This window comes from Homo sapiens, chromosome 10 (assembly GCF_000001405.40).
Source record: "Homo sapiens chromosome 10, GRCh38.p14 Primary Assembly".
NCBI lineage: Eukaryota > Metazoa > Chordata > Mammalia > Primates > Hominidae > Homo > Homo sapiens.
Genome location: NC_000010.11, coordinates 92,151,105 through 92,177,208, shown reverse-complemented (window position 1 = coordinate 92,177,208; position 26,104 = coordinate 92,151,105). Strand labels below are relative to the sequence as shown.

At 38.5% G+C, this 26,104-nt stretch overlaps 1 protein-coding gene across 26 annotated transcripts in view; it reads left to right on the top strand.

Annotated features, from left to right (window-relative positions):
- The window catches only part of CPEB3 (cytoplasmic polyadenylation element binding protein 3), a 244,542-nt gene that overhangs the window by 114,025 nt on the left and 104,413 nt on the right, over positions 1-26,104 (top strand). For 9 of the 26 annotated variants that reach the window (XM_024447895.2, XM_011539515.3, XM_006717715.4 and 6 more), the window contains one exon: positions 19,137-19,160. The exons of 16 other annotated variants lie outside the window; for them this stretch is intronic. In XM_024447895.2, coding sequence (XP_024303663.1) covers positions 19,137-19,160 — 24 coding nt within the window. Of the gene's footprint in view, positions 1-10,590; positions 10,753-19,136; positions 19,161-26,104 lie in introns of those variants that run through there. One more of the 26 variants, XM_017015927.2, reaches the window with a different exon arrangement.

Sequence of the window (26,104 nt, the reverse complement as noted above, 5' to 3'; positions counted from 1 at the left end):
GCATAATGTATTTTAATTTTTCCCATTGGAGAAGGAGGCTGCTAAGAGTTCTTCTAGCTACATATGTGGTAGTAGTTCTACCATCCGTATTTTTCTAATACTAATAGTAGCTTGTGTTTCCTTTTTCTTTTTCTTTTTTACATTCTAGGTCAGGGATGTCCAACCTTGTGGCTTCCCTGGGCCACATTGGAAGAATAATTGTCCTGGGCCACAAATAAAATACACTAACTCATATTGTTTTAAATTTGTCTTAAAACAAATCTCATAATGTTTTAAGAAAGTTTACAGATTTGTTTGGGCCACATTCAAAGCCGTCTTGGGCCACATGTGGCTTGCGGGACGCAGGTTCGACAAGTTTGTTCTAGGTGTAGAGTTGGTTTAGCATTCGTGGTCTTGTGTAGGATTGATGCCTAACTTGGTGACTTTTCCTCTATTATGCTGATCCTTAGAAAAGGATACTGGTGCCTCCATGATTCATCACATAAACCAAATTTATGTTCAAATTAATGTTCAAAATCAGCATGCCTGGTCTTTACTCCATTTGACTGGTCAGTTCCTCTTTTTCCAAGTAGAAAATGGGCTTGGGAAAACAGATAAATATCGGAAAGTTGCTTGATAGGTACAAAAGCAGAAACTGGGAATAGTGTTTCTTAAGGAATAGTATCATTCAGTTCTAGGAAGATGTCTTTGAAGCAGGCTGGAAGGCATGTGAAACTTGAAGATGCAGCAATGAATTAGCAAAGCCAAAGGCATCATCTGGAGTTAGGTAGATCCCATTCCCTCTTTACAAGCTATATGGCCTTGAGGCCACATTCTTAACTCCTCTTTGCCTCGATTTCTTCACCTGTAAAATGGAGATAGCAATCAGGAAAGTGGTTATATATATATTTTTATAAAGCTTAGCATAGTGCCTGATTTGTAGATAATGCTCATATGAGCTGCTATTGTGAATGTTTGCAACAGGCTTATTATTACCTTTAAAGATCTTTCTTTCTTTACATATTAGTTTCAAAAATATAAGTTTATCTCACATTGTTTACATTTAGGTAGATGCTTTCCTGATAGAATTTAAGACAGCACACCTGTAAGTCATTTGGTTACATTTATTTACTTATTTGGAGACAGAATCTCACTCTGTTGCCTAGGCTGGAGTACAGTGGTGTAATCTCGGCTCATTGCAACCTCTGCCTCTTGGGCTCAAGCGATTCTCCTGAATCTGCCTCCCGAGTAGCTGGGACTACAGGCACACGCCACTATGCCTGGCTAATTTTTTGTATTTTTAGTAGAGATGGGGTTTTGCCATGTTGCCCAGGCTGGTCTCGAACTCTTGAGCTCAGGCAATCCGTCTGCCATGGCCTCTCAAAGTGCTAGGATTACAGCTGTGAGCCACCACACCCGGCCACGTTTAGATAGGTGCTTTCCTGATGGAATTGAAGACAGCACACCTGTAAGTCATCACATAAGCTAGCATAGCTGTATTGAGATGTGGTTCCATTTGTTTTTGTGTGAATCTTTTTCTCTGGATGAAATACTTTCTATTACTTGACTTTGGAACATGCAAATGTGCACTGTCTTTGGATCCTACTGGCCTTTCTCAGTTGTTAAATATCTTGTGATGTTGGCACTTTAAAAAGTGTCACACGCTGCTGTTTGGAATGTATTAATAAAATGATACGGCCACTTTGGAAAACAATTTGACAGTTTCTTGCAAAGTTAAACATACAACTATCATATGATGCGGGAGTTCTCCTGGGAATTTACCCAAGAGAAAAAATGAAAACGTATGTCCACACAAAGACATATGTGCGAATATTCAAAGCAGCATTGTGGATAAACAAATTGTGGTACATCCATACAATGGAATACTACTCGGCAAATAAATAGGAATGAACTATTAATACATGCAGCAACATAAATGACTGTCAAAATAATTATGCTAAGTTAAAAAGCTAACAAAAGAATACATACTAGATGATCCTGTTAATATAAAATTCTGGAAAATGTAAACTAATCTATTGTGACAAAATACCACAACTTCAAGAAAGGAATTTTTGTAGTAACATTGTCTTCTTTTTTCAGAGGACAAAATTGAGGGCTTAGATCTTGGAGAAGTCATGTGTAATGATGGCATCTAGTTGAGCAAGTTTCTGAATCTCCTTAAGCCTTTGCTTGAAAACCTGTAAGTGGGCAGTTAGGATATTTACTCTACCTCATTGTTTTTGTGAGATTCAGATGAAGTAAGGCACACGTACAAATAGGGTATTATTACTGCTACATTTGGGAAGTAGGAAGCATAGTCTTACCCAGAGAAGATACTTCTAAAGAGTTAATTTTTCTTTTTTTGAAGATCATAGCTTTGTAATATAACAGAGATTCAATATTGTTTAAATTAAAAGTTTTCCTGCCATTCCTTTTCCGAGATCTTTGATGTAATTAGAGTCTGTTACAAGTTATAAGGAGATAAATTAGAATTCTGAAGTACCACTTCCCTTCTGACAAGGAAAGATGATTGTTTACCCTCACTCTTCCTTATCAAAGTTTGTAACTTTGCAAAATTGAAGATTCCTAGAATAAAACCTAAGTAGTTTGAAGACTTAAACTTTTGATATCTTTCTTCTTTATTTTTTCTGTATCTCATGAATTGATATATAAACATTTTGATATCTTAAGCCAAAAAAAGACACTCACCTCTTTAGAAGCTCTGAGGTCATTGATTGTTAAACAATGTATACATAGCTGATACACCAAGAAACTTGGAACTTTAGGTTATTCTGTTTTCTACATTTTCCTCTTATTAATGCCTTGAAAACATTTTAGAAGGTTTTGCTTATATTTCTATTTGAACTGAGGGCTGCCAGTGCATTTGTGGAATCAAAAGAGGCAATGTGAAAGGGCATTGACATGAACATTTGTGTTGGGCAGAGACCCCTGTGTGGCTGCAGAGCCTCCTCTTCCCCCTCCCTTTTATCCTCTGCTGGGAGTGAACTCCTTGGGGAGAGGCTCAGCTGAGAGGAAGTGGCAGAGAGGGAGCTGAGCACCTGATGCCAGAATGGGAATAAAGCCAGCTTTGCTAGAATTCCAAATGGCATTTTCCAAAATTTGAAGAACACATTGTTGTTTCTGTTCACTGTGAGTGGATATAAGTAAATAATTTCTTGGTAGCATAAAAAAGTATAGTAAAGGAATTATCTTGAGATTCTCAGATTAAAGACATTTTGTCTGAGAATTTTTAACTTTTTGAAGACAAGATTCAGATTTTCTCTTTCTGTCTGAACAGGTTTCTATCTGAACAGGTTTAGAAATAAAACTAATATATGGTTGTGCTATGAATACATTGTAAAGGATGGCTAATTTAGAAATGAAAAAATTAGAAGAATAAGTAATGTTCCATGACTTCCAAGTACTCAAATTTCAAACCATTCTAGTTGGATGCTGCACATGAACATGGTAAGGGACCTAAGAGATGGTTTTGTTTTGACTTTCTCATTTTACAGACTGGAAAGCTGAGATTCAAAAGGCTGTAAGAATTGGCCAGGGTGATATGGAGCTAGGAGCAGAGCCTCTTGCCTCCTGGTTGAGGGTGGTACCTTTTGCTTTAGAAACTTAATTGTTAAGAGTAGTTACATTATTATTATTATTATTTACTACCTTAACACAAACATGCAAATTCGGTGTCTTTGGGAAAATAGTTTCTCTATTATTATTATTTGTCACCTTGTTTATGCTCTGAATGCTTAGTAAATTCTCTTTTCCTGAAAAATAGAATGGTAAACCTAGTTTACATGGCCTGATATTGAATATTGTCAATAAGTGAAGTCTGAAATGTTCTTGACTGACTTTATTGCATTTTGGAAGAAGTTCTTTGTATTTGTGAATGTGTCTAAAGTGACAGTATTGGGTAGTTCTAACCAAATAAGGAAGATGCAGAAAACTGAAAATTTACTTACTCTTCCCGGTGGACTTCCCTGTTTTCTCCACTTGTATAGGCAGTGGAAACTGGACTTCACATTTACAGCATTCACCCCACTTGTAATTAACTATTTAATGTTGGTGTTTTTCTTTAATGTGTATGTTTCAAGAGGGCAGAGACTAGCTTTTATTCACAGTTGGTCCCTGGCTTGAAGTATAATGCCTGGCCTGTTGAATACGCACTCAATATGGGTGATCAGAAGAGAGAGAAGGAGGACTGGGAAAACATCTCAGTGTGACTGTGAAAAGCACAGTCTAACAGTCTTAGAGAATATCCAGTCCACCTTAATTTCTTCCTAAAAGATGTGCTTTAATTCTTCCTTTTGAAAGATGGTTATAACACATATAGATCTAGCAATGAGCAGTTTACGAAGTGGTCTCACAGACCTCTGTGCTTTTGTAATGCTTACTATGGTTTTTCCAGAACATGGAAAAAAATCCACTTTTCTTGAGCACCAACTTTACCCCAGGACTATTTTCTTATCCAGACAAAACATGGCCATATGATAGAGTAGTGTGTGAAACTGAAATGCAGTTTTTTTCCCCCTTTCAACTTTTAGGTTCAGGGGGTACATATGCAGGTTTGTTACATGGGTAAATTGCATGTCAGCATGTTGCTAATGTCATACAGCCAGCAAATAGCTGTATAAGGTTTAGACACACAGATTATTCTGCCAACCAGTTCCTAATCCCGTGTGATTTTTACTCTTTTGGATTTTCCCAAAAGGTCACTTGGGTTTCATTTAACTCCTTTATAACTATTAAATAAATGATACTTTATTGATTGTGGAGAGTCAGTATACTTCCACACATGTTCAGTGTTACTTTCAGAACATAGTCTCCTTCAATAGCAGCAGGAATTTTAAATGCCTTCTTTTCTTCATTACCCTCCACACACATACACTCTTGTTATATGAATAAAGTTTTGTGTTTTTTTTGTTGTTGTTGTCTTGTTTTTTCAGCTGAATATAGTAGAAACAGTGCAGTTTGAGGTAGGGAGGCAGACAGATCTGAGTTTAAACCCCAAATCCATCACTTATTTGCCATGTGACCTTGTGGCAAGTTACCTGTGTCTTTTATTTTTTATTTTATTTTTAAAATTTTTTTGTAGAGACAGGGTCTTGTTATATTGCCTAGGCTGGTGTTGAACTCCTAGGCTCATAGGATCCTCCTGCCTTGGCCTCTCAAAGTGCTGTGATTACAAATGTGAGCTACTGCACCGAGCCTGTGTCTTTTATTTTAAATGGACACTTTAACCCCTCTTTACAAATGGTAAGGTTGTGTAGTGCTCCTAATACCATATCTGGCAAGAAATATACACCAAGGCTGGGTGCGGTGGCTCACGCCTGTACTTCCCAGCACTTTGGGAGGCTGAGGCGGGTGGATCACCTGAGGTCAGGAGTTCAAGACCAGCCTGGCCACCATGGTGAAACCCCATCTCTAGTAAAAATACAAAAATTAGTCAGGCATGGTGGTGCATTCCTGTAATCCCAGCTACTTGGGAGGCTGAGGCAGGAGAATCGCTTGAACCCAGGAGGAGGAGGTTGCAGTGAGCCGAGATCACACCACTGCAGTCCAGCCTGGGCAACAGAGTGAGACTCTCTCTGGGGAAAAAAAAGGAGTACATACCAAACAAATGTTAGTCTTTGTTTCTTCCCTATTCTACCCCCCTTCCTTTGTTTCCTTTTGAGTTCACACTAATTCTCAACTCTAGTTATACAATCAAAACAGGAGCCAAAATAGAAAACACCCATGTCTGAGAGACTGTAATTTCATTGGCGTAGGGTGAAATCTGGTTGGGGGTGGAGGGTGGGCAAGGGATACGGAAAGGACCAAAATTAGATGTGTGTCTATCTTTATTTGAGGATGAACGAATCAAGTAGTATCGGGACTATGCTGTGCATATCGTAGTGTTCTTTCTTTTCCCTCAAGACTTGGTCTGCTTTTATTGTTCCCTGAAGTTTTCCCAAGTCCAGATCAGAAGAGGAAGGTGTTTTTGAAGGATCAGGGCAGGGCTGATATGAATGAGCAGCTTCTCCATGCTACTGCAGCCCTTCCGAAATGTCCAGGTCAATTCCTTGTCATAACTTTCTTCTGTGAAGGAACTCTCCTTCCCACATGAGAGGAGCCTTGTTGATAGAGAGAAGACAACACTGACCAACGGGCCCAGCCTTTGGTTCAGCTTAGGCTCCTGAACACACCAGCACCCATTTTGTTTACCTTCTCTTCTTTCTGTATTATTCCTTATGTTATTTGGGAGTTCAGAAATGTAGAACTAGCAAGTATTGGCTGTCCTGAACAGTGTAGGAATTGAGTCTTTATATACAGTTGTAGAAATCTCATGAGATTTTTGGCATAGTGGTGGTTCAAAGAAGATGGTTTGTTGAAAACAGATGCCAGATATTTGAGTGTATACCACTGTAGTAAGCAATTTCAGACCTGAATTGGACAGATTGATCAGTATAAAATACAAAATACTCTGTTATGTGATTACAATTCTTAGAACTTTCTTCTTTCTTTCTCTCTCTTCCTCCTTCCCACCCTCTCTTTCTTCCTCTCTCCCTCCCTCCCTTCCTTCCTTTCATTCTCCATCTTTCTCTTTTTTTCCTTCCTTCTTTTCTCTTTCTTTCATCAGTTATTGTTTCATTTAGCAATGTGCTACTGAAATAAAAGCAAGGTGGTTATTAATTATTCTTAGTGGAATGCTGTCAGGTCACAAGTATGAGGGTGCATAAACATCACCTGATGTAAGTGGGTGTGGATGCCCACTCTCTCCAGTAAGGTATAGCAGTATTATGCAGAGGAATTCTTTACCGAGGTTTGTTTCCAGAGATGTCTTGCCTGATATATACATTTTTAATTATCTTTTTCTGTTTTGATGAGGAATTTAGGAAATGAACTTGGAAATTCTAGAGTGATTACTTTGATAACATGTTATATATTGAGAAGTTGTATTAGTATCTTATATGTTAAATGTAATTTAGAAAGTAAATTAATACTAAGTATGTGGGGACACTGAAATGTGGTATAGCAAATCCTTGAGCTTGCATTTTGTACAAGACAGGAAGAAGAATAATAGAGGAAATGGACAATGTGGACTAGGGGTTTCCTAGGGAGTAGAAGAGACTAGATGTCAAGGCATGCAGGTATCAAGATTTTTATTCTCTCTGAATAGGTGCTTACTTGTAATGATAATACTGGAAGAGTAGGTTGAATTGGGATTACTGGAATGTATGGGTCTGTTATATGGAATAGTGAGAATGAGGATCTGAAAGATGGTTGGGGCCAAATAATGAAGGGCTTTGGATGCTTCATGAGAAGCTTAGACAGACTAGTATTGTCTTAGTGGAAATTAGGTTTATCCAAAGGAGAATATTCAGTCTGATATGGAATATGGAAAATGATTTCTTACGAAGAATATTGAATTGACTAAAAAGAGTGAATAAAAAAGATAAAACCAAAAGGTGCTAAAGTAATGGCCCCCCAGTAAAAGTGGGATTAGGCTGGGGTCTGTGGGTAAGAACAACAGGAGAGTGTAAAAAAGAACTTTGTAACAATAAGAATGGTCCTACCATGGAATATACAGATCTTTGGTTTTCTAGTTGTGTTCTATGGAATGCCAACATCCAAGAAGGTACTTTAAGTGCCACTGTGGGAGAAGGATACCCAACATTTGGGGCCATGGGTCCTTGCCATGCTTGAACTTGAACAGCCTTGCTTTAATACATTGTCTTTACTGGGGGAGAGAAGGCTCTGCTACTGTATTCACCCATTCTCACACTGCTATAAAGAACTGCTTGAGGTCAGGTGCAGTGGCTCACGCCTGTAATCCCAGCACTTTGGGAGGCCAAGGCGGGTGGATCACCTGAGGTCAGGAGCTCGAGACCAGCTTGGCCAACATGACGAAACCCTGTCTTTACTAAAAATACAAAAATTAGCTGGGCATGGTGGCAGGCATCTGTAATCCCAGCTACTTGGGAGGCCAAGACAGGAGAATCGCTTGAACCTGGGAGGTGGAGGTTGCAGTGAGCCGAGACTGCACCATTGCACTCTAGCCTGTGCAATAAGAGCAAAACTCCATCTCAAAAAAAAAAACAACAAAACCTGCTCAAGACTCAGTAATTTATAAAGGAAAGAGGTTTAGGCCAGGCACGGTTAGCTCACGCCTGTGATCTCAGTACTTTGGGAGGCTGAGGCAGGTGGATCACCTGAGGTGAGGAGTTTGAGACCAGCCTGACCAATATGATGAAACCCCATCTCTACTAAAAATACAAAAATTAGCTGGGCATAGTGGCATGCACCTGTAATCCCAGCTGTGTGGGAGGCTGAGACAAGAGAATCGCTTGAACCTGGGAGGCAGAGGTTGCAGTGAGCTGAGATCGCACCATTGCACTCCAGCCTGGGCAACAAGAGCAAAACTCCATCTCAAAAAAAAAAAAAAAAAAAAAGGGCAAGAGGTTTAATTGACTCACAGCTCTGCATGGCTGAGGAGGCCTCAGGAAACTTACAATCATGGCAGAAGGGGAAGCAAACACATCCTTCTTCACATGACAGCAGGAGAGAGAAGTGCCAAGCAAAGAGGGGAAAGCTACTTATAAAACCATCAGATCTCGTGAGAACTCACTTCACTATCACGAGAACAGCAGCATGGGGGTAACCAATCCCATGATTCAATTACCTCCCACCGGGTTTCTCCTATGGCACATGGGGATTATGGGAACTACAATTCAAGATGAGATTTGGGTGGGGACATAGTCAAACCATATCAGCTATTTAGAAAGAAGTTTGAAAAAAACACACTAGAATAGGCTGAGAGACTTGAAGCAAGCCTCTTTATTCTTTTATCTCATACTTTTTATCTCATAATATCTTTATTAAGGTATTCTAGCAGAACCAGGTAAAAACACTTTTCTATTAGCTCCAGAAATAAATCCTGTTTTGCTTAAGATACCTGTAGGTTTCTCTGTAAGATATTGAAAGCAGTGAAACAGAATGTTGCAAAAGTTCAGTTGGTGAGAATACAGGATATATTTTCTTATGTTTCTAATAACAACTAAATTTTCTGACCAATCCACAAAAGTACCTATAGGCATGTATCATTTTATTGTGCTTCACTGTATCATGCTTCATAGAATTATGTTTTTTATAAATTCCAAGTTTGTGGCAACAGTTGTGCTGTTTTTCTAACAGCATATGCTCACTTTTTTTCTGTATATCATGTTTTGTTAATTCTCACAATATTTTAACCTTTTTTGTTATTACTATATCTGTTATGGTGATTTGTGATCAGTGATCTTTAATGTTACTATTTTATTTTATTTTATTTTTTTTGAGACAGAGTCTCACTCTGCCTGCCCAGGCTGGAGTGCAGTGGTGCAGTCTCAGCTTACTGCAACCTCTGCCTCCCGGGTTTAAGCAATTCTCATGTCTCAGTCTCCCGAGTAGCTGGGACTACAGGTGTGCGCCACCACACCTGGCTAATTTTTATATTTTTTAGTAGAGACAGTGTTTCACTATGTTGGCCAGGCTGGTCTCAAACTCCTGACCTCAGGTGATTCACCTGCTTCGGCTTCCCAAAGTGCTGGGATTACAGGCCTGAGCCACTGTGCCCACCTTGATGTAACTATTGTAATAGTTTTGGGATGCCATGAACTGCACTTGTAGGAGATACAAACTTAATTGATAAATGTTGTGTTCTGTCTGCTCCACCAGCTGGCCATTCTACTGTTTCTCTCCCTCTCCTTGGGCCTTCCCATTTTCTGAGACACAACATTGAAATTAGGTCAATTAATAATCCTAAAATGGCCTCAAAATGTTCAAGTGAAAGAAAGAGTTGCACACCTCTCACTTTTAATCAAAAACTAGAAATGATTAAGCTTAATGAAGAAGGCATGTTGAAAGCTGAGACAGGCTAAAAGCTAGGCCTCTTGTGCTAGTTAGCCAAGTTGTGAATGCAAATGGAAAGGTTCTTGAAGGAAATTAAAAGTGTTATTCCAATGAACACACTAATGGTAAGAAAGCGAAATAGTCTTATTGTTGCTGTGGAGAAAGTTTTAGTGGCCTGAGTAAAAGAACAAACCAGCCACAACATTCCCTTATGCCAAAGCCTAGTCCAGAGCAAGGCCCTAACTCTTTTGCATTCTGTTAAGGCTAAGAGAGGTTAAGAAGCTGCAGAAGAAAAGCTAGAAGCTGGCAAACATTGGTTCCTGAGGTTTAAGGGAAAAAGCCGTCTCCATAACATAAAAGTGCAAGGTGAAGCAACAAGTACTGATGGAGAACTACAGCAAGTTACTTACCCAGATTTAGTTAAGATAGTTGGTGAAGGTGACTACCCTAAACAGCAGATTTTCAGTGTAGGTGAAACAGCCATCTATTGGAAGAAGATGCCATCTAGGACTTTCATAACGAGAGAGGAGAAGTCAGTGCCTGGCTTCAAAGGATAGGCTGACTCTCTTGTTAGGGGCTAATACAGCTGGTGACTTTGAGTTTAAGCCAATGCTTATTGACCATTGTAAAAATCCTAAGGGCCTTAAGAATTATACTAAATCTACTTTGCCTGTTCTCCACAAATAGAACAACAAAGCCTGTATGACAGCACATCTGTTTAACAGCATGGTTTACTGAATATTTTAAAACCACTGTTGAGACCTGCTGCTCAGAAGAAAAATACTCCTTTCAAAATATTACTGTTCATTGACAGTGCACTTGATGGAGATGAACCGGACAGTAATGTTGTTTTCATGACTGCTAATACGTCATCCATTCTACAGCCCATGGATCAAGGTATAATTTATACTTCCAAGCCATCTTGTTGAAGAAATACATTTTGTAGGCCAGGTGTGGTGGCTCATGCCTGTAATCCCAGCACTTTGGGAGGTCGAGGAGGGTGGATCACCTGAGGTCGAGAGTTTGAGACCAGCCTGGTCAACATGGTGAAACCTCATCTCTACTAAAAATACAAAAATTAGCCGTGCATGGTGGTGCACGCCTGTAATCCCAGCTACTTGGGAGGCTGAGGCAGGAGAATCACTTGAACCCGGGAGACGGAAGTGGCAGTGAGCCGAGATCACGCCACTGCACTCTAGCCTGGGCGACAGAGTGAAACTCTGTCTCAAAAAAAAAAAAAAGAAAAAGAAATACATTTTGTAAGGCAATACTTGCCATAGATTGTGCTTCCTCTGATGAACCTAGGCAAAGTTGAAAACCTTCTAGAAAGGATTCTTTATTTTAGATGCCATTTAGAACTTTTGTGATTCATTGGACGAGGTCAAAATATCAACACTGACAGGAATTTGAAGAGGTCAGTTCCATTCCTCATGGACAACTTTGAGGGGTTCAAAACGTCAGTAGAGAAAGTCACTGCAGATACAGTGTAAATAGCAAGAGAACTAGAAGTGGAGTCTAAAGATGTGACCAAATTGTTATAATCTCATGATGAAACCTGATGGATGAAAAATTGCTTCTTATGTACAAGCAAAGAAAGTGGTTTCTTAAGGTAGAGTCTACTTGATGAAGATGCTGTGAACATTGTTGAAATGACAGCAAAGTATTTAGAATATTACATACATTTAGTTGATAAAGCTGTTGCAGGGTTTGAAAGGATCGAATCCAGTTTTGAAAGATATTCTACTATGGGTAAAATGCTCTTAAACATTGCATGCTACAGAGAAATATTTTGTGAAAAGAAGAGTCAATCGATGTGGCAAACTTCACTGATCTCTTTTTTTTAAGATATTGCCTCAGCCACCCCAACCTTCAGCAACCACCACTCTGATCAGTTAGCAACAATCCACATGGAGGGAAGACCTTCCACCAGCCAAAAAAAAAAAAAAAAAAGAAGAAAAAAGTGACAACTTGCTGAATGCACAGATGATCGTTGAGATTTTTAGCAATAAAGTATTGTTTTTTATTTTATTTTTAATTTTTTCGAGATAGGGTCCTGCTGTGTCACCCAGGCTGGAGTGCAGTGGCATGATCATGGCTCACTGTAGCACTCAGCTCCTGGCCTCAAACAGTCCTCCCACCTCAGCCTCTTAAGTAGCTGGGGCTACAGGTATGAGCCACTGTGCTAGGCAACAATAAAGTATTTTTTAAATTAAGTTATATATATTGTTTTTTAAGACATAATGCTACTGTGCACTTAATAGACTACAGTATAATATAAACATAACTTGTATGCGCTAGGAAATAAAAAAATTGTGTGACTTGCTTTACTGTGATATTTGCTGTATTACAGTGGTTAGGAACCATAAGGCTGTAATATCTCTGAAGTATCCCTGTATTTTAATTCATAATCTAACAGTTCTAAGTGTAATAATTAGTAGAAAACAATAGTGTTGTGTTAGTAATAATGAAATAAAATTTAAAAAAGAAAATTGGGGTGAGAAGTTTATTTTCTTAAATTTTGGATTGTGCTGCTGAAAAACAGGATAATGGAGGCTGTGAAAATTCTGAAGAGAATTTCTGGGTACTTTCAAGGTCTTTATAGATTTGAAATACTGATTCTTCAAACTTAGTGGTTAAGAGTAAGGGTTTTTCAAATGTTTACCGACTGGTGAATGGATAAATTGTAGTTTGTCCATACTATGAAATACTACTCAGCAATAAAAATAAACAAAATACTTATACATGTAACAACATGAATTAATCTCAAAAACATGCTAAGTGAAGGAAGTCAAACATATTGGTTTCATTAATATGAAATCATAGAAAAGGCAAACAAAACTATGGCGAGAAGGGAGATTAATGCTTGCCAGGAACCATGAGTTAGGGGAGGGGATCAACTGCAAAAGCACACAAAGAAATTTTCAAAGGTGTTGAACTGTCATATCTTGATTAGAATGGTGGTGGTTATATGTTTATATATAATTATCAAAATTAATCAGATCGTATACTTAAAGTGGATAAATTTTATTGACTGTAAATAATACCTTGAGTTAAAGTAGGTGCTTTAGAGCCAGACTAAACCTGGATTCAGTCCCAGCTCTGCTGCTTAGTAGCTGTATAACTTTGGGCCAGTCATCTTCTCTGGACCTTGGTTTGCCCATCTGGAAATGTGTATAATGATAGCTGCCTTGGGGATTAGAAGACGTACAAGTACTTAGCATATGCCTGGAACATGATAAATTATCAGTAGGTTATTATTTTACTTTATGATCGTCATTCTCCTTTATAAAATATCCCAGTAATGCTAGTATTTTGCTTATCAGTCATTAGTATTACTTTTTAGGTTTGCAAATACAATGGAAAGAAGATTTTTCTGAGAAGAATGTGTAAGAGTAAAAGAGAAGGGAAGGAAGGAGTTTTAAGACATCCAAATGCTTAATGTATACAAAACAAAAACAAAAATAAAAACAAATACTTAATGTGAATGTAGCAGATGAATATATATCCTTCCCCTTCAAGCATCTTTTTTACCTGCTACTTTCATATTGTTCATGGAGAAATTGATCTTTTCAATTATAACTTGCCTAGTTTGAGAAATGCTATCAAACATCAAACATTGGGTTAAAAGTATCTTATCTGCCATTATAAGTCAAAGATATAGGAGGAGCATTTAAAGACAAACCCCAGCACTCCTGCTGTTTAAGAATTTATAGTCTAATGAGGGAAAGGGGGACATTTTGATTCAAACTTTAAGGTCTTAACCCATCTTAAGTGAAATTTTTTCTATGACTAATACTCCAAGGGAAGCTGAAAGGGAACATTAGATGTTTGAATAATTTTATGATGCCTACTGAAATGGTGATTCAAAAAATAAGTTGCAAGGTGTTTCTTAAAAACTGATTTTATCACAAGGAAAGTAATTTTTTTTTTTTGCTCTTGTTGCCCAGGCTGGGGTGCAATGGCTCAATCTTGGCTCACTGCAACCTCCGCCTCCCGGGTTCAAGCGATTCTCCTGCCTCAGCCTCCCGAGTAGCTGGGATTACAGGCATGTGCCACCATGCCCGGCTAATTTTGTATTTTTAGTAGAGACAAGGTTTCACCGTGTTGCCCAGTCTGGTCTTGAACTCCTGACCTCAGGTGATCCACCCGCCTTGGCCTCCCAGAGTGCTGGGATTACAGGTGTGAGCCACTGTGCCTTGCGGAGCACAGGGGATTTTTAAGGCAGTGAAACTATTCTATATGATACTGTAACGGTGGATACATGTTACACATTCATCAAAACCCATGGAATGTACACCAAGAGTGAACCCTAATGTAAACTGTAGACTTTGGATGATTATGATGTGTCAGAATAGGTTCATCAGTTTTTACAAATATACTATGGTGGGGGATGTTGATAATTGGGGAAGCTATGCAAGTGTGGGGCTAGGGGGCGTACACGAAATCTCTGGGTCTTTCTTTTTTGCTGTGAACCTAAAAAGGTTCTAAAAATATAAAGTCTCTAAAAAACAAACAGCAGAGCATAACATGCCCTTCCCTTGGGGAGTCACATGTATAAGAATGCAACCATTAAAACTTAGTGCAGGCCAAGTCATAAGGAATAACAGATGATCTATTTTAGTGTTGCCTCATGTGCCCAGCAAAGTACCATGCCATTAACATGAGAGTGCTGTTGACAGTGTACTTGTCACTGACCATACAAATCCACTTTTGGAATAATTCTTGTATTTCCCCCTGTAAAATACATGTACCATTTAATTTTTATTCTGATGGATTGGAAATAAGCATTTTTTTCAATTTTTAATTATTCAGGTTTATGATTTAAAAGCTACAAAAATATTAGCACTGTGGATTTTCTGCACTATTTTTATAACCAATGAACTAATCTAAAATATTTGTAATGTTTCATTTTTAACTATTCAAATACAAACAGTACACAAATCATAGATACATAATATATGTATCTATGATTTAATAAATATATTGCTCAATGTAGTATCACAAATTGAGCTCACCCATGTAACTAGTACCTGGATCAAGACCAAAACATTACTAATACCCCAAACTAAACCCTTAGGCTCCTCTCTGGTTACTATCGCTAGCCAAGGGTAACACTACTCTGATTTCTAAAAATTAGAGGTAATTCGTATGGGCTCTAAATTGCTTAATATATATGAAACAGTAAAAAGATTCTTTCTCTTAAAAAAAAAAAGAATTCTATCTCTAAGGCTGGTAATAGTTGATAATTGAGAATTAAAGTTCTTAGAGGGAGTAGATAGACCTTTGAAAGAATATTGTATCTTGTTATATCTGGTATAAATCCATCTTAGCATAGATAGGATATTAGAAAGATGAAATAAGTCACATTACTCCCTTTTTAAAAATGTGGAGTCAGCCGGGCGCAGTGGCTCATGCCTGTAATCCCAGCACTTTGGGAGGCCACGGCAGGTGGATCACAAGGTCAGGAGTTCGAGACCAGCCTGGCCAATATGATGAAACCCCATCTCTATTGAAAATACAAAAATTAGCCGGCGTGGTGGTGCACGCCTATAGTCCTAGTTACTCAGGAGGCTGAGACAGAAGAATCGCTTGTACCGGGAGGTGGAGGTTGTAGTGAACCAAGATCATGCCACTGCACTCCAGCCTGGGCGATACATGTGAAGTATTTTGAACTGTTCCCGGCACATAGGAAGCACTCATTAGCTGCTATGATAATCACTATAACAGGACCAAGGTAGTACATAATAAATTCCACAATGAATGATAAAAACAAATCTAAGCCACTGGGCGCGGTGGCTCATGCCTGTAATTCCAATACTTTGGGAGGCCAACGTGGGTGGATCACCTGAGGTCAGGAGTTCGAGACCAGCCTGGCCAACATGGTGAAATCGTGTCTCTACTAAAAATACAAAAAATTAGCTGGGCAAGGTGGCAGGCACCTGTAATCCCAGCTAGTCAAGGGGCTGAGGCAGGAGAATCGGTTGAATCCAGGAGGCAGAGGTTGCAGTGAGCCGAGATCATGTCATTGCACTCCAGCCTGGGCAACAAGGGCGAAACTCTGTCTCAAAAAAAAGCCAAACCAAAACAAAATGAAACAAAAAAAAATCTAAGCATCTCAGATAGATCACTACTTGATATTGGCTACCTATCCCATATGCCATCCTGTCTCTCTGATATCAGAGTTCCCAACCATCATGAACCAATTTACAGTCCCAGCACTTTGGGAGGCCAAGGTGGGCAGATCCCTTGAAGTCCAGGAGACCAGCTTGGGTGACATGGTGAAACCCTGTCTCTACAAAAGATACAGAAATTATCTGGGTGTGGTGATCCCAGCTGCTCAGGAGGCTGAGGTGGGAGAATCGCTTGAGCCCATGAGGCAGAGGTTGCGGTGAGCAGAGATCTTGCCACTGCACTCCAGCTTTTGTGCCAGAGTGAGACCCCGTCTCAAAAAAACAAACCAACAAAACTCCCAGGTAGGTCTTTTGTAACTCTTCCTCTGTCCCCAATTCAACATGCTGCCCTCCACCCCTAAGCCTGTCTAGATCTACTAACTTCATCTATATTACTTGGATGTTTAGTGGTTGAAGACTTGTGTGAACAACATTCTCCTTTATCCTTTATGGGTGTTAATGTCCAATTAGTCATTTGTACCTTAGTATTGCAATCAGATTTGTTTTCATTGGGTATCTGGCCAGAAATCAGATATAAGGGGAAAAAAATGAATTTGTTGTTTGGGAGAGAAATAAGTAATTTTAAAATATGGAGTATTTCCTTTCTCAATAAAGATTTTTCATTGGGTTGTCAGGCAGCATAACATCATTGGGGATGGGAAGAAGGGACAAAGAGACAAGTGATAGGATGTCAAAATTTATTTCATCTTTTTTGAAGTGTTATATTAATCCATCCATATAATTATGGATGAAGCAAATTTGGGGGAGGGATCAAGGTAGGAAGCTACCTACCATTTATTATACTTTTTGTAACAAGAGGAATTCAAGGTGCCAAATAATAAACAGTATAAAAGTCCCTTAAATTGTTTTTGGAATGCATCCCCTTTCGTAAGTTATGTAAACAGTAATAGCTATGTAAATTCAGAAGAGATTTTTTTCAGCTGGGCGCGGTGGCTCACCCCTGTAATCCCAGCACTTTGGGAGGCCGAGGTGGGGATCACTTGAGGTCAGGAATTCGAGACCAGCCTGGCCAACATGGCAAAACTCCATCTCTACTAAAAATACAAAAATTAGCCAGGCGTGGTGACCAGCACCTGTAATTCTAGTTACTTGGGAGGCTGACGCAGGAGAATCGCTTGAACCTGGGAGGTGGAGGTTGCAATGAGCCGAGATCGTGCCACTGCACTCCAGCCTGGGTGACAGAGTGAACGAGACTCCATCTCAGAAAAAAAAAAAAAAGATTTTTTTCATTGAGGTTTGTAGTACAGGAGGAATCAGGGAAAAAAATAGAGCTTGAGCTGGATAATCCTTTCTAATATTTGAGTAGTGGGAAAGTGAAGAAGTTAAAGGTGTGGAGTGAGGGCAAGTCTGATGCCTGAGGAAAAGTGGAAAGTAGTAGAAAATGAGATTGGCCTAGTGGTATTTCAACTATCCGGCTGAAAAGTCTGAATTATTTTCCTATGGAATAAATAGTTTTTTTGTTTGTTTGTTTTTTGTTTTCTGTTTTTTTTTGAGACGGAGTCTCGCTCTGTCACCCAGGCTGGAGTGCAGTGGCATGATCTCGGCTCACTGCAACCTCCACCTCCTGGGTTCAAGCAATTCTCCTGCCTCAGTTTCCTGAGTAGCTGGGACTACAGGTGCCCTCCATCACGCCTGGCTAATTTTTGTATTTTTAGTAGAGATGGGGTTTCACCATGTTGGCCAGGATGGTCTCAAACTCCTGACCTCAGATGATCTGCCCACCTTGGCCTCCCAAAGTGCTGGGATTACAAACGTGAGCCACTGCACCCAGTCAGAAATAGTTTTCTTTAATGCTTAATGTAATACACTGTAAATGTAACTCCAAATTATCTTCCTTTTTCAGTATAAGCTAGTTGTGTGACATTTCACAGTTTTATTTATTTTTTTACTTATTTATTTTGAGACAGAGTCTTGCTCTGTCGCCCAGGCTGGAGTGCAGTGGCGTGATCTCAGCTCACTGCAACCTCTACCTCCAAGGTTGAAGCAATTCTTCTGTCTCAGCCTTTCAAAGTGCTGGGATTACAGGTGTGAGCCACCGCGCCCGGCCAATTTTTTGTATTTTTAATAGAGATGAGGTTTCACCATGTTGGCCAGGCTGGTCTCAAACTCCTGACCTCAAATGATCCTCCTGCCCTGGCCTCCCAAAGTGCTGGGATTACAGGTGTGAGCCACCACACCCAGCCTGTTACACTTTTAAGAAATGGATTAAGCTCTAAATCATTTTTTAAAATAGAACCTGAGGTTTCAAATTTGAGAAACTTTCCACTCTGAAAATCATTCCGCTTGACAGGATCTTTTAGTGATACATGATACCACAGTCTAGCTCTATTAAACAATGTAACAATACATTCTATAGGGCTGGAGTTTTAAAGAGGAAGAAAACCTTTAAAGCACTGTATTATTAAGCATGGCCTGAGGTGGACCCAGTGCCTTAGTCTCATTTTACTTTTGCAGTTCATTTTATAGATCAAAAAGATATTACATTCCCCCATCTGTAATACTGAGTGGAAAGTAAATGGAGAGAGTAAGAGAAGCTTTACTGAAAATTGTGCAGAAACACATTCTGTAAAGTAACAGCTAGTTGTATATAAAATTTCTATACATTTTTCAGGGGAATCTATGAAGAGAGAGAGTGTGTGTGTGTTTGGGGGCAATGTGTGTATAGTAAGAAATTCAGAGTGACCACCGCATGGTACAGTTTTTAGTTATTTAGAATGAATAATTTTTTCTTATCTGGTGGTAAGATAAAGTACAAATGAAGATTTATAAATCAGTTTTTTAAAGTACTCTATGTCTGATATAGATAATAGGCTCCAATATAAACCCTCATAAGACTTCTGAAACATCCATTGTATCTGTTCCAGTGGCTGCCACATCCAGTTAAATTTCTTTTTAAGATTGTGATTTAGCCTGTACTTCATAAAGGTTTTTTAAAAAAATATAGTGTCTGCAGTCAAGTTGAACAGTATCTTCATATCAATTGAATAGTTCCAAGAATACATAGAAAAGCTTTGTGTGAATTTTTTTTTCATTTCTAAATTCACCATTTTGATACAAATACCCATGGTTTTCTTCTATGTTTACATGCAGCCAGGAGCTATGGGCGGAGACGAGGTAAATTTTTTTTTTTTAAATGAGATCTTTTGCTTGCCAAATTGTGAGTAAATATGAGTGTGTTTATGTGTGTGTGTATTTATACCTGTGTGTGTGTAAAACAATAATTATCATATGGTGTGATGTTCTATCTTAATTATTTTAGCAAAATAATTTATCACTTTCATTAAAATTATTTTTTTGTTGTTGGTAATTTGTTCTTTTAATTATAAAAAAGATATAGCAAAGACTATTTCTCCTTAAAGTTTTTTGTTATATGGTTTATTGTGAATAAACATGAGGAAATAAAGGCCAAACATATATATTTTTCTGCCCTGTATTCATTGTGTTCTTTTCATACAACTTAGAAGGCAGAACTTGGGTTTTGGAGGGCAATTCTTGATCTTATTAGGTTGGCTGGTGATTTTTTTCTGTTATATTCAGAGTCAGATTTACCCCGGAAGTAAATGAAGCTTAAGTTTCAGAGCCTCTCACTTGCTTGGACCCCTTCCAAAGTCTACGTAATTTTTGTGTTCTTTTGCTTAAAGAGGGTCCCCAAAATAGGCTTTAGTCCCCATAAAACTTGCATTCTCTCCTGGTCACACCCAAACAAAATAATACAACTTTCATTTGTGTAATGCTGTAACTGTTCTAAAGCATTTCCCATATCTGTAGTTTTTTCAAATAATTTTACGAAGTAGCTAGGAGAAGCCGGATGTCGTAGAAAGCATATGGGACTTAGGGTCAGACACGTAGGTTGTAATCACTGACTTATCATTTAGATTTGGTATGCTCATCTGTAAATTATGAGGTAATAAAACCAGTCTTGTCCTACTTCAGAGTATTAGTAAAGTTCTAGTTAAAAAAACAGGGAAGTGAAAAGCTATCCATGTAAATTAAAAGTATTCCACAAATATAAGTTACTTTGGTGCTCATTTGCAGAAGCTGAAGGAGGAGTCGTAATTTACTTGCTGTGTGACCAAGTTAAAGCCAGAGTCAAGATCACAATCTGTGTCTTTTGGCTCTTTATTTGCTAATGTTTACCATTCATCAGGCTGTCTCTGACTTTGTAGTTGAGTCATGAAGAGAAGATAATGATGCTAAATTCGTAGTATTTTATTATGTTTTAAAAAATATTAAAAATATTTTCTGCCTATGCTTACCCAAACAATACTTTTATCATTTATTTCACAGCAAATATTTGTTGAATGAGTGACTACTGGCAGAAGCTAATATATATGTACAGTGGATCATACAGTCCTTTTGCTTTTCATCATCATCATGTGTAAAAACGTTTGTGTAAATGATTATTTTCTATCCTTGGAAATAAATATCATTAAATTTTATTGCCTTATTTTTAAATTTAAAAAAGTTAAAGCCTATAAATAATGTTATTAAGACATATTTTGTACCATACTTGTTTCATGTTGCTAGAAAAATGATCACTGTCAGGAAAGAAAAGGAAATGGACTGTTTTATGTAGAAAATAGACACCATCTGGAGAATAGACAGCAGGGCCTGGCTTTTCCTCTTCTCACGTACTAATCAGTCACCAGATCTTGTCAAGATTTTCCCTCTAGTTTTCTCAGGCCTTGTCCTTCTCATTTCTGCTATTTTTATTTCTCCTGTTCCATTTCTACAACTTCATCTTTCTGAAACACCGCTTTGTGTCATCCCCATTCTCAATTCAGGGTCCCCATGATCTGGCTTCTGCCTCTTTCACCAACATCATTATCTTCATTTTTCCCACTTCATCTTCCCCTGACCAATCTATTTGCTTTCCCACTCTCTGGCCATACAGGTCACCCTTCCTCTCATCTATGTATCTAAGAACTATCCTTATTTTACTAGTTCAAACCTTACCCTTTCCAGGAAGCCTTCTCCAGTGGCCTTGCAGACAGTGTTTTCCTCTGATTCTGCTGTCTTGCATTCTTCCTGCCTTTTCTGTATGCCCTGATTCTTCATCTGGGATAAGTTCTTTGAGGATAGTTGTCTCTAGTGCCTAACACTGGGCCCTACGTAGCGTTAGCCCTTATTAAGTGCTTATTGATAAGGATTATTTTGAAATAACACCCTACATTTATGCAGAGCAGAGTTTGCCATCATATTTTTAAAAATTATCTTATTTTTATAAATAATAGCATATTAATACTATACATCAAGAATATAAAGTCGCCTATAGTTTCTAAGCTTCTGAAAAAAATACTCATCCTTTTTTCATTTTACTTTCTCCATATCTATTTGTGAGGTTGATTTTATTGTTCTCAAAAGTCACGATCTTCTTTGTATGAGGTGCTACACTAAATATTTCCTAGAATGACTTGGTCCCTGCTCTTGGTCTGCAGTTTGATAGGTGTAAATGAAGAAGAGAATGATGAGAGAGAGAGGAAGAGAGACAGAGAGAAGTGCAAATGCTAAAAGACTGAATGTTGCCTTTCTGTAATGAAAAAAGAACGGACAGAAAATGTTTTGTCCATGCTTTCAATAAGTCTTTCATTTCCAAAGCTGAAAAAGAAGTCATCTTCCTTAAATGTAATGATATAACCATATGGGATGAAGCATGTCTAGATCGCATATCTAGAACACTTATTCTCTGAGATGTATTCATTTGAGCCAACTCTGCATAGTATACTTCTGATGAATTGGCAGACTTCCTCATGCTTATTTTTTCATGTGAACAGGGATTAAATTAATGTTTGATCCCTTTCCTCTAATTAACATTTAGACTTGCCCAAAAAGAATAAAAATTAAGCTTGCTGATGTATGTTACTTCCCTCTACCTATGATTAAGGATAGAACTGGAGTTATAACTTATTTTCTATGTGTTACATAAACATGTTGGTAAACTTTTTTCTTTTTTTGAGACAGAGTCTCACTTTGTCGCCCAGGCTGGAGTACAGTGGCATAATCTTGGCTCACTGCAACCTCCGCCTCACGGGTTCAAGTGATTCTCCTGCCTCAGCCTCCCAAATAGCTGGGACTACAAGCATGCACCGCCATACCCGGCTAATTTTTGTATTTTTAGTAGACATGGGGTTTCACCATATTGGCTAGGCTGGTCCTGAACTCCTGGCCTCAAGCCATCTGCCCATCTCCCAACGTGCTGGGATTACAGGCATGAGCCACCACATCTGGCCATGTTGGTAAATTTTCTAGGAACAGAAATAAAGGGAATGTAATATATGTGAAAGTTTTTAGTTCTGTCAGCAAGAATTTGGCCAGTGGACTTTTACACCTCTCCTGATAAGTGTTGAAAAGTTTCCTGGGATGAGTAGAATTTCAGGACCTATTTGGATAATGGAATAGGAATGGGAAGCAAGACATTCTAGTATGTGTTTCTCCTTAGAAGAAGGCTTAAAGATGAGATTGCCATGACCAGAGGCTTGGAGTACATATCTCTGAGTGTATGCTGTGGGACCAGCTGGAGAGGAGAAGCTGGTAGTAGGACGATCTATGCTGCCTTAATGAATGTTTTTGAAACAGGCGGTGAAACTCCTGGACACAGATATTGTCAGGCTTTAGAAAGAGGGTTTTATGATAAAGTAATGAAAGCAGGGGATAACTTGAACATCAGCTCAAGGCTTGGATGAGGACATTGAAGGTAGACTCTTAGCAAACCAAGTGCTTCTAGTAATGTAGTTGAAGCAGTAATAATGAGAAATGAGAAGAATGACATGAAAGAATAAGATTGAAAATAAATATCAATTACATATAGTTTAAAAATACCCAATTATATTTCCCATTTATATCTATTTTGAATTTGTTCCAGTAGACAAACCTTGATTTCATTTGTGGAATAAGAATCACACCAAAGAATCTTACCATTTTTCTTTGGGAGTGTTCTGCCTTTGATAAGCTTTAATATGTGTCCTCCTATACAACTGCAACCCCTGTTAGAAACTAGTCTACCAGGTAGTGTCATTTAAGACTTTTGCCTACACATTTAATATATGCTGTGCTTTTCATTTCACATGAGAATGAGTTTTTATGCTCTCCATGAAACTATTGTCCATAAGTAGACATGTTGGCTATGCCAGTATTTTTGATGTTTAGCAGAATTTCTTAGTTATAGAGCAGTAAGGAGAATATGAAAAGTCCTTTTAACAATGCAAATGAGAAAATACAACTAGTCTACCAGGTAGTGTCATTTTGGATTTTTGCCTACACATTTAATATATATTGTGCTTTTCATTTACATGAGTATGAGTTTTTATGGTCTCTGTGAAACTCTTGTCCATAAGTAGACATGTTGGCTATGCCAATATTTTTGTTTTTGTTTTTTGCTTTTTGAGATGGAGTCTCACTCCATCGCCCAGGCTTGAGTGCAGTGGTGCAATCTTGGCTCACTGCAGCCTCCGCCTCCCAAGTTCAAGCAATTCGCCTGCCTCAGCCCCCCAAGTAGCTGGGATTACAGGCACGCACCACCATGCCCGGCTAGTTTTTGTATTTTTAGTAGAGATGGGGTTTCTCCATGTTGGCCAGGCTGGTCTCGAACTCCTGACCCCAGGGGATCGCCTCGGCCTCCCAAAGTGCTGGGATTATAGGCATGAGCCACTGCACCCAGCCCATGCTAGTATTTTTGATGTTTAACAGAATTTCCTAGTTATAGAGCAGTAAGGAGAATATAAAAGGTCCTTTTAACAATGCAAATGAAAAAATACAAAGAATGATTAGAGTTACTGTTATAAATGTACTCCTGCATATATTTAGTTCATAAAAAATATATTGATATTAATGGGTTGCATAATTGATAACAAAAGTTCTAAAATCCAATCAAACAAACTCGTGTGCTGAGTTAAAGTTGAGTATTTCTGTCAAAAGCCTGCTCGAGGGAAGAGAGATCAGCTATTCCAGGGAGACCATGCTAGAAGCACGCCATCCTGCTAATTCAAACCCAGTTGTATGAGCTTGCTTGTTTAAAGGTATGGATGATTCTAGAATAAAACATGGACGTGAATCGGAGAATTTTCTGAATGTTCATGGTTGTAATATCTGAAAATGTTACTGCTCATAGTAATAGGAAAATTTGAGCACAGATGATAGTGAGGGGAAGATGACTAGTTTTTCACTGTCTTGGGAATTTAATCTGGGAGGGGCCAAAAGAAAGACTGAAGGAGGGATTTTCTGGGCCTTCCACCCAAATTTTACTCATTAAGTGTCTGCATACCTATACTGTACTAGACTCCAGATGTGGTCTCTGACACTGTTCAGTGGTCACTCTTGTAGGGAGAGAGACAATAAATAAGTGAAACGAATATATTTATTCTTAACAGTTGTGATAAATACTAGGCAGAAAAGAATAGGGGAGGTCACCTCTGAAGAGGTGATATTTAAACAAACTGAAAGGATGGAGAGATAGCTATCTAAAACTTTTTGGTATTAAGGAATTTTTAAATATATACAAATGTAGACTAGTTTAATGAACACCAATATATCCATCATCAGCTTCAATTATTATCAGCATTTTTGCCAGTTTTGTTTCATATATTCTCTTCCCTTTTTCCCTGGGAATATTTTAAAGGGAATTTCAGATATTATAAGACAGATAGCTAGTTTAAAAGGGGAAGGTGGAAGGAACTGCATTTGTAAAAGGCTTGAAGCAAAGTACAGATACATGCTACAACATAAACCTCGAAAACATTACACTAAGTGAAAGAAGCCAATCTCAAGAGTCACGTATTTGTATGATACCATTTATATGAAGTGTCCAGAATAGACAAATCTATTGAGACAAAACGGAGATTAGTGGTCGCCTAGGGCTGAGAGGTTGGGGGAAAACCAAGAGTGACTGCTAATGGATTAAATGGATCAATTGTGTGATATGAGAATTATATTTCAAAAAAGTCGTGTTTCTTTAAAAAAAGGCTTGAGGCAAGAAAAGGCTTACTTTGAGGAAGCCTAGAATGACTGATGCTTGGTAGGTGATGGAGGAGTATGTCTTAAGATGAGTTTGGAGGAAGGAAAGAGAATCTGATCTTGCTGGACATTAGCTCCTGGTAAGGATTTTGAACTTGGTCCAAGTACAAGAGGAAATCTTTGAAGCTTTAAAGCAAGGTCAAATGATTGGATTTATGTTTTTAAAAGAGCACGTCTGGTTGCTGTTTGGAGTGAAGTGAAAAGAGAATTGGGTTGCCTTGTTAGGAGGTGATGTCAGGCATGAGATGAGGATAGTTAGGATAGGGTGATGGCAGTGGAGTTGGAGAGAAGTGAACAAATTAAAGATAGATCTTGGAGAATGGGATCAACAGTAGTGTTTAACAGATGGTGTCAGGTTGCTGAATTAACCTTGGAGGGTAAATAAGAAGGAAGACTCAAAAATGATTTTGAGATTCTGGCTGAAGTGATTGGGTGAATTGTAATGCCACATATTGAAATGGGACTGGGAGAGAATAAGTTTAAGGTAGATATCAAAAGTTCACTTGTAAACACATTAAGTTTGTGATGCCTAAGAAATACCAGATATTAATATGAAGTAAATCTATTTTTAGGTAAGATTTCTGTGTAATAAAAGGGATTCTCCTGTTCCTGGGGATCTGAAATCCTGCCATCTAGTTAAACTCTCTCATTATGCAAATGAGACCATAAGTGAAATGTTTTTTGTTCAAAGTCACCTACTGGACACTAGGCTGGAACCTATCTTGACTTCTAGGGAATATGTATGTATTTTATGAGGGAGTCATGCCTCATAATTCCTTTTTCTTAAACCCCCAAAGTGACTGATTGCTGAGCTACTTACAAGACTAAAATGAAAAGAGTCAGGCTTGGAGTAGAAGTGCTGGGCCAGAGGTACCCTGGAGCTGCTGGAGTGATGGCAGAGGCCTTGGTGGGAGCTCAGAGGTGAGGTCCCAGCAGCTTTCACAGCATAGCTTGGCCAATGGGCTTTTGTTTTTCCATCATTTGCTGAAGGAAAGGGAGCCTTCTGGGGAGGAATTATCTTGGACAAGCCTTCCATGCTTAACTAATGC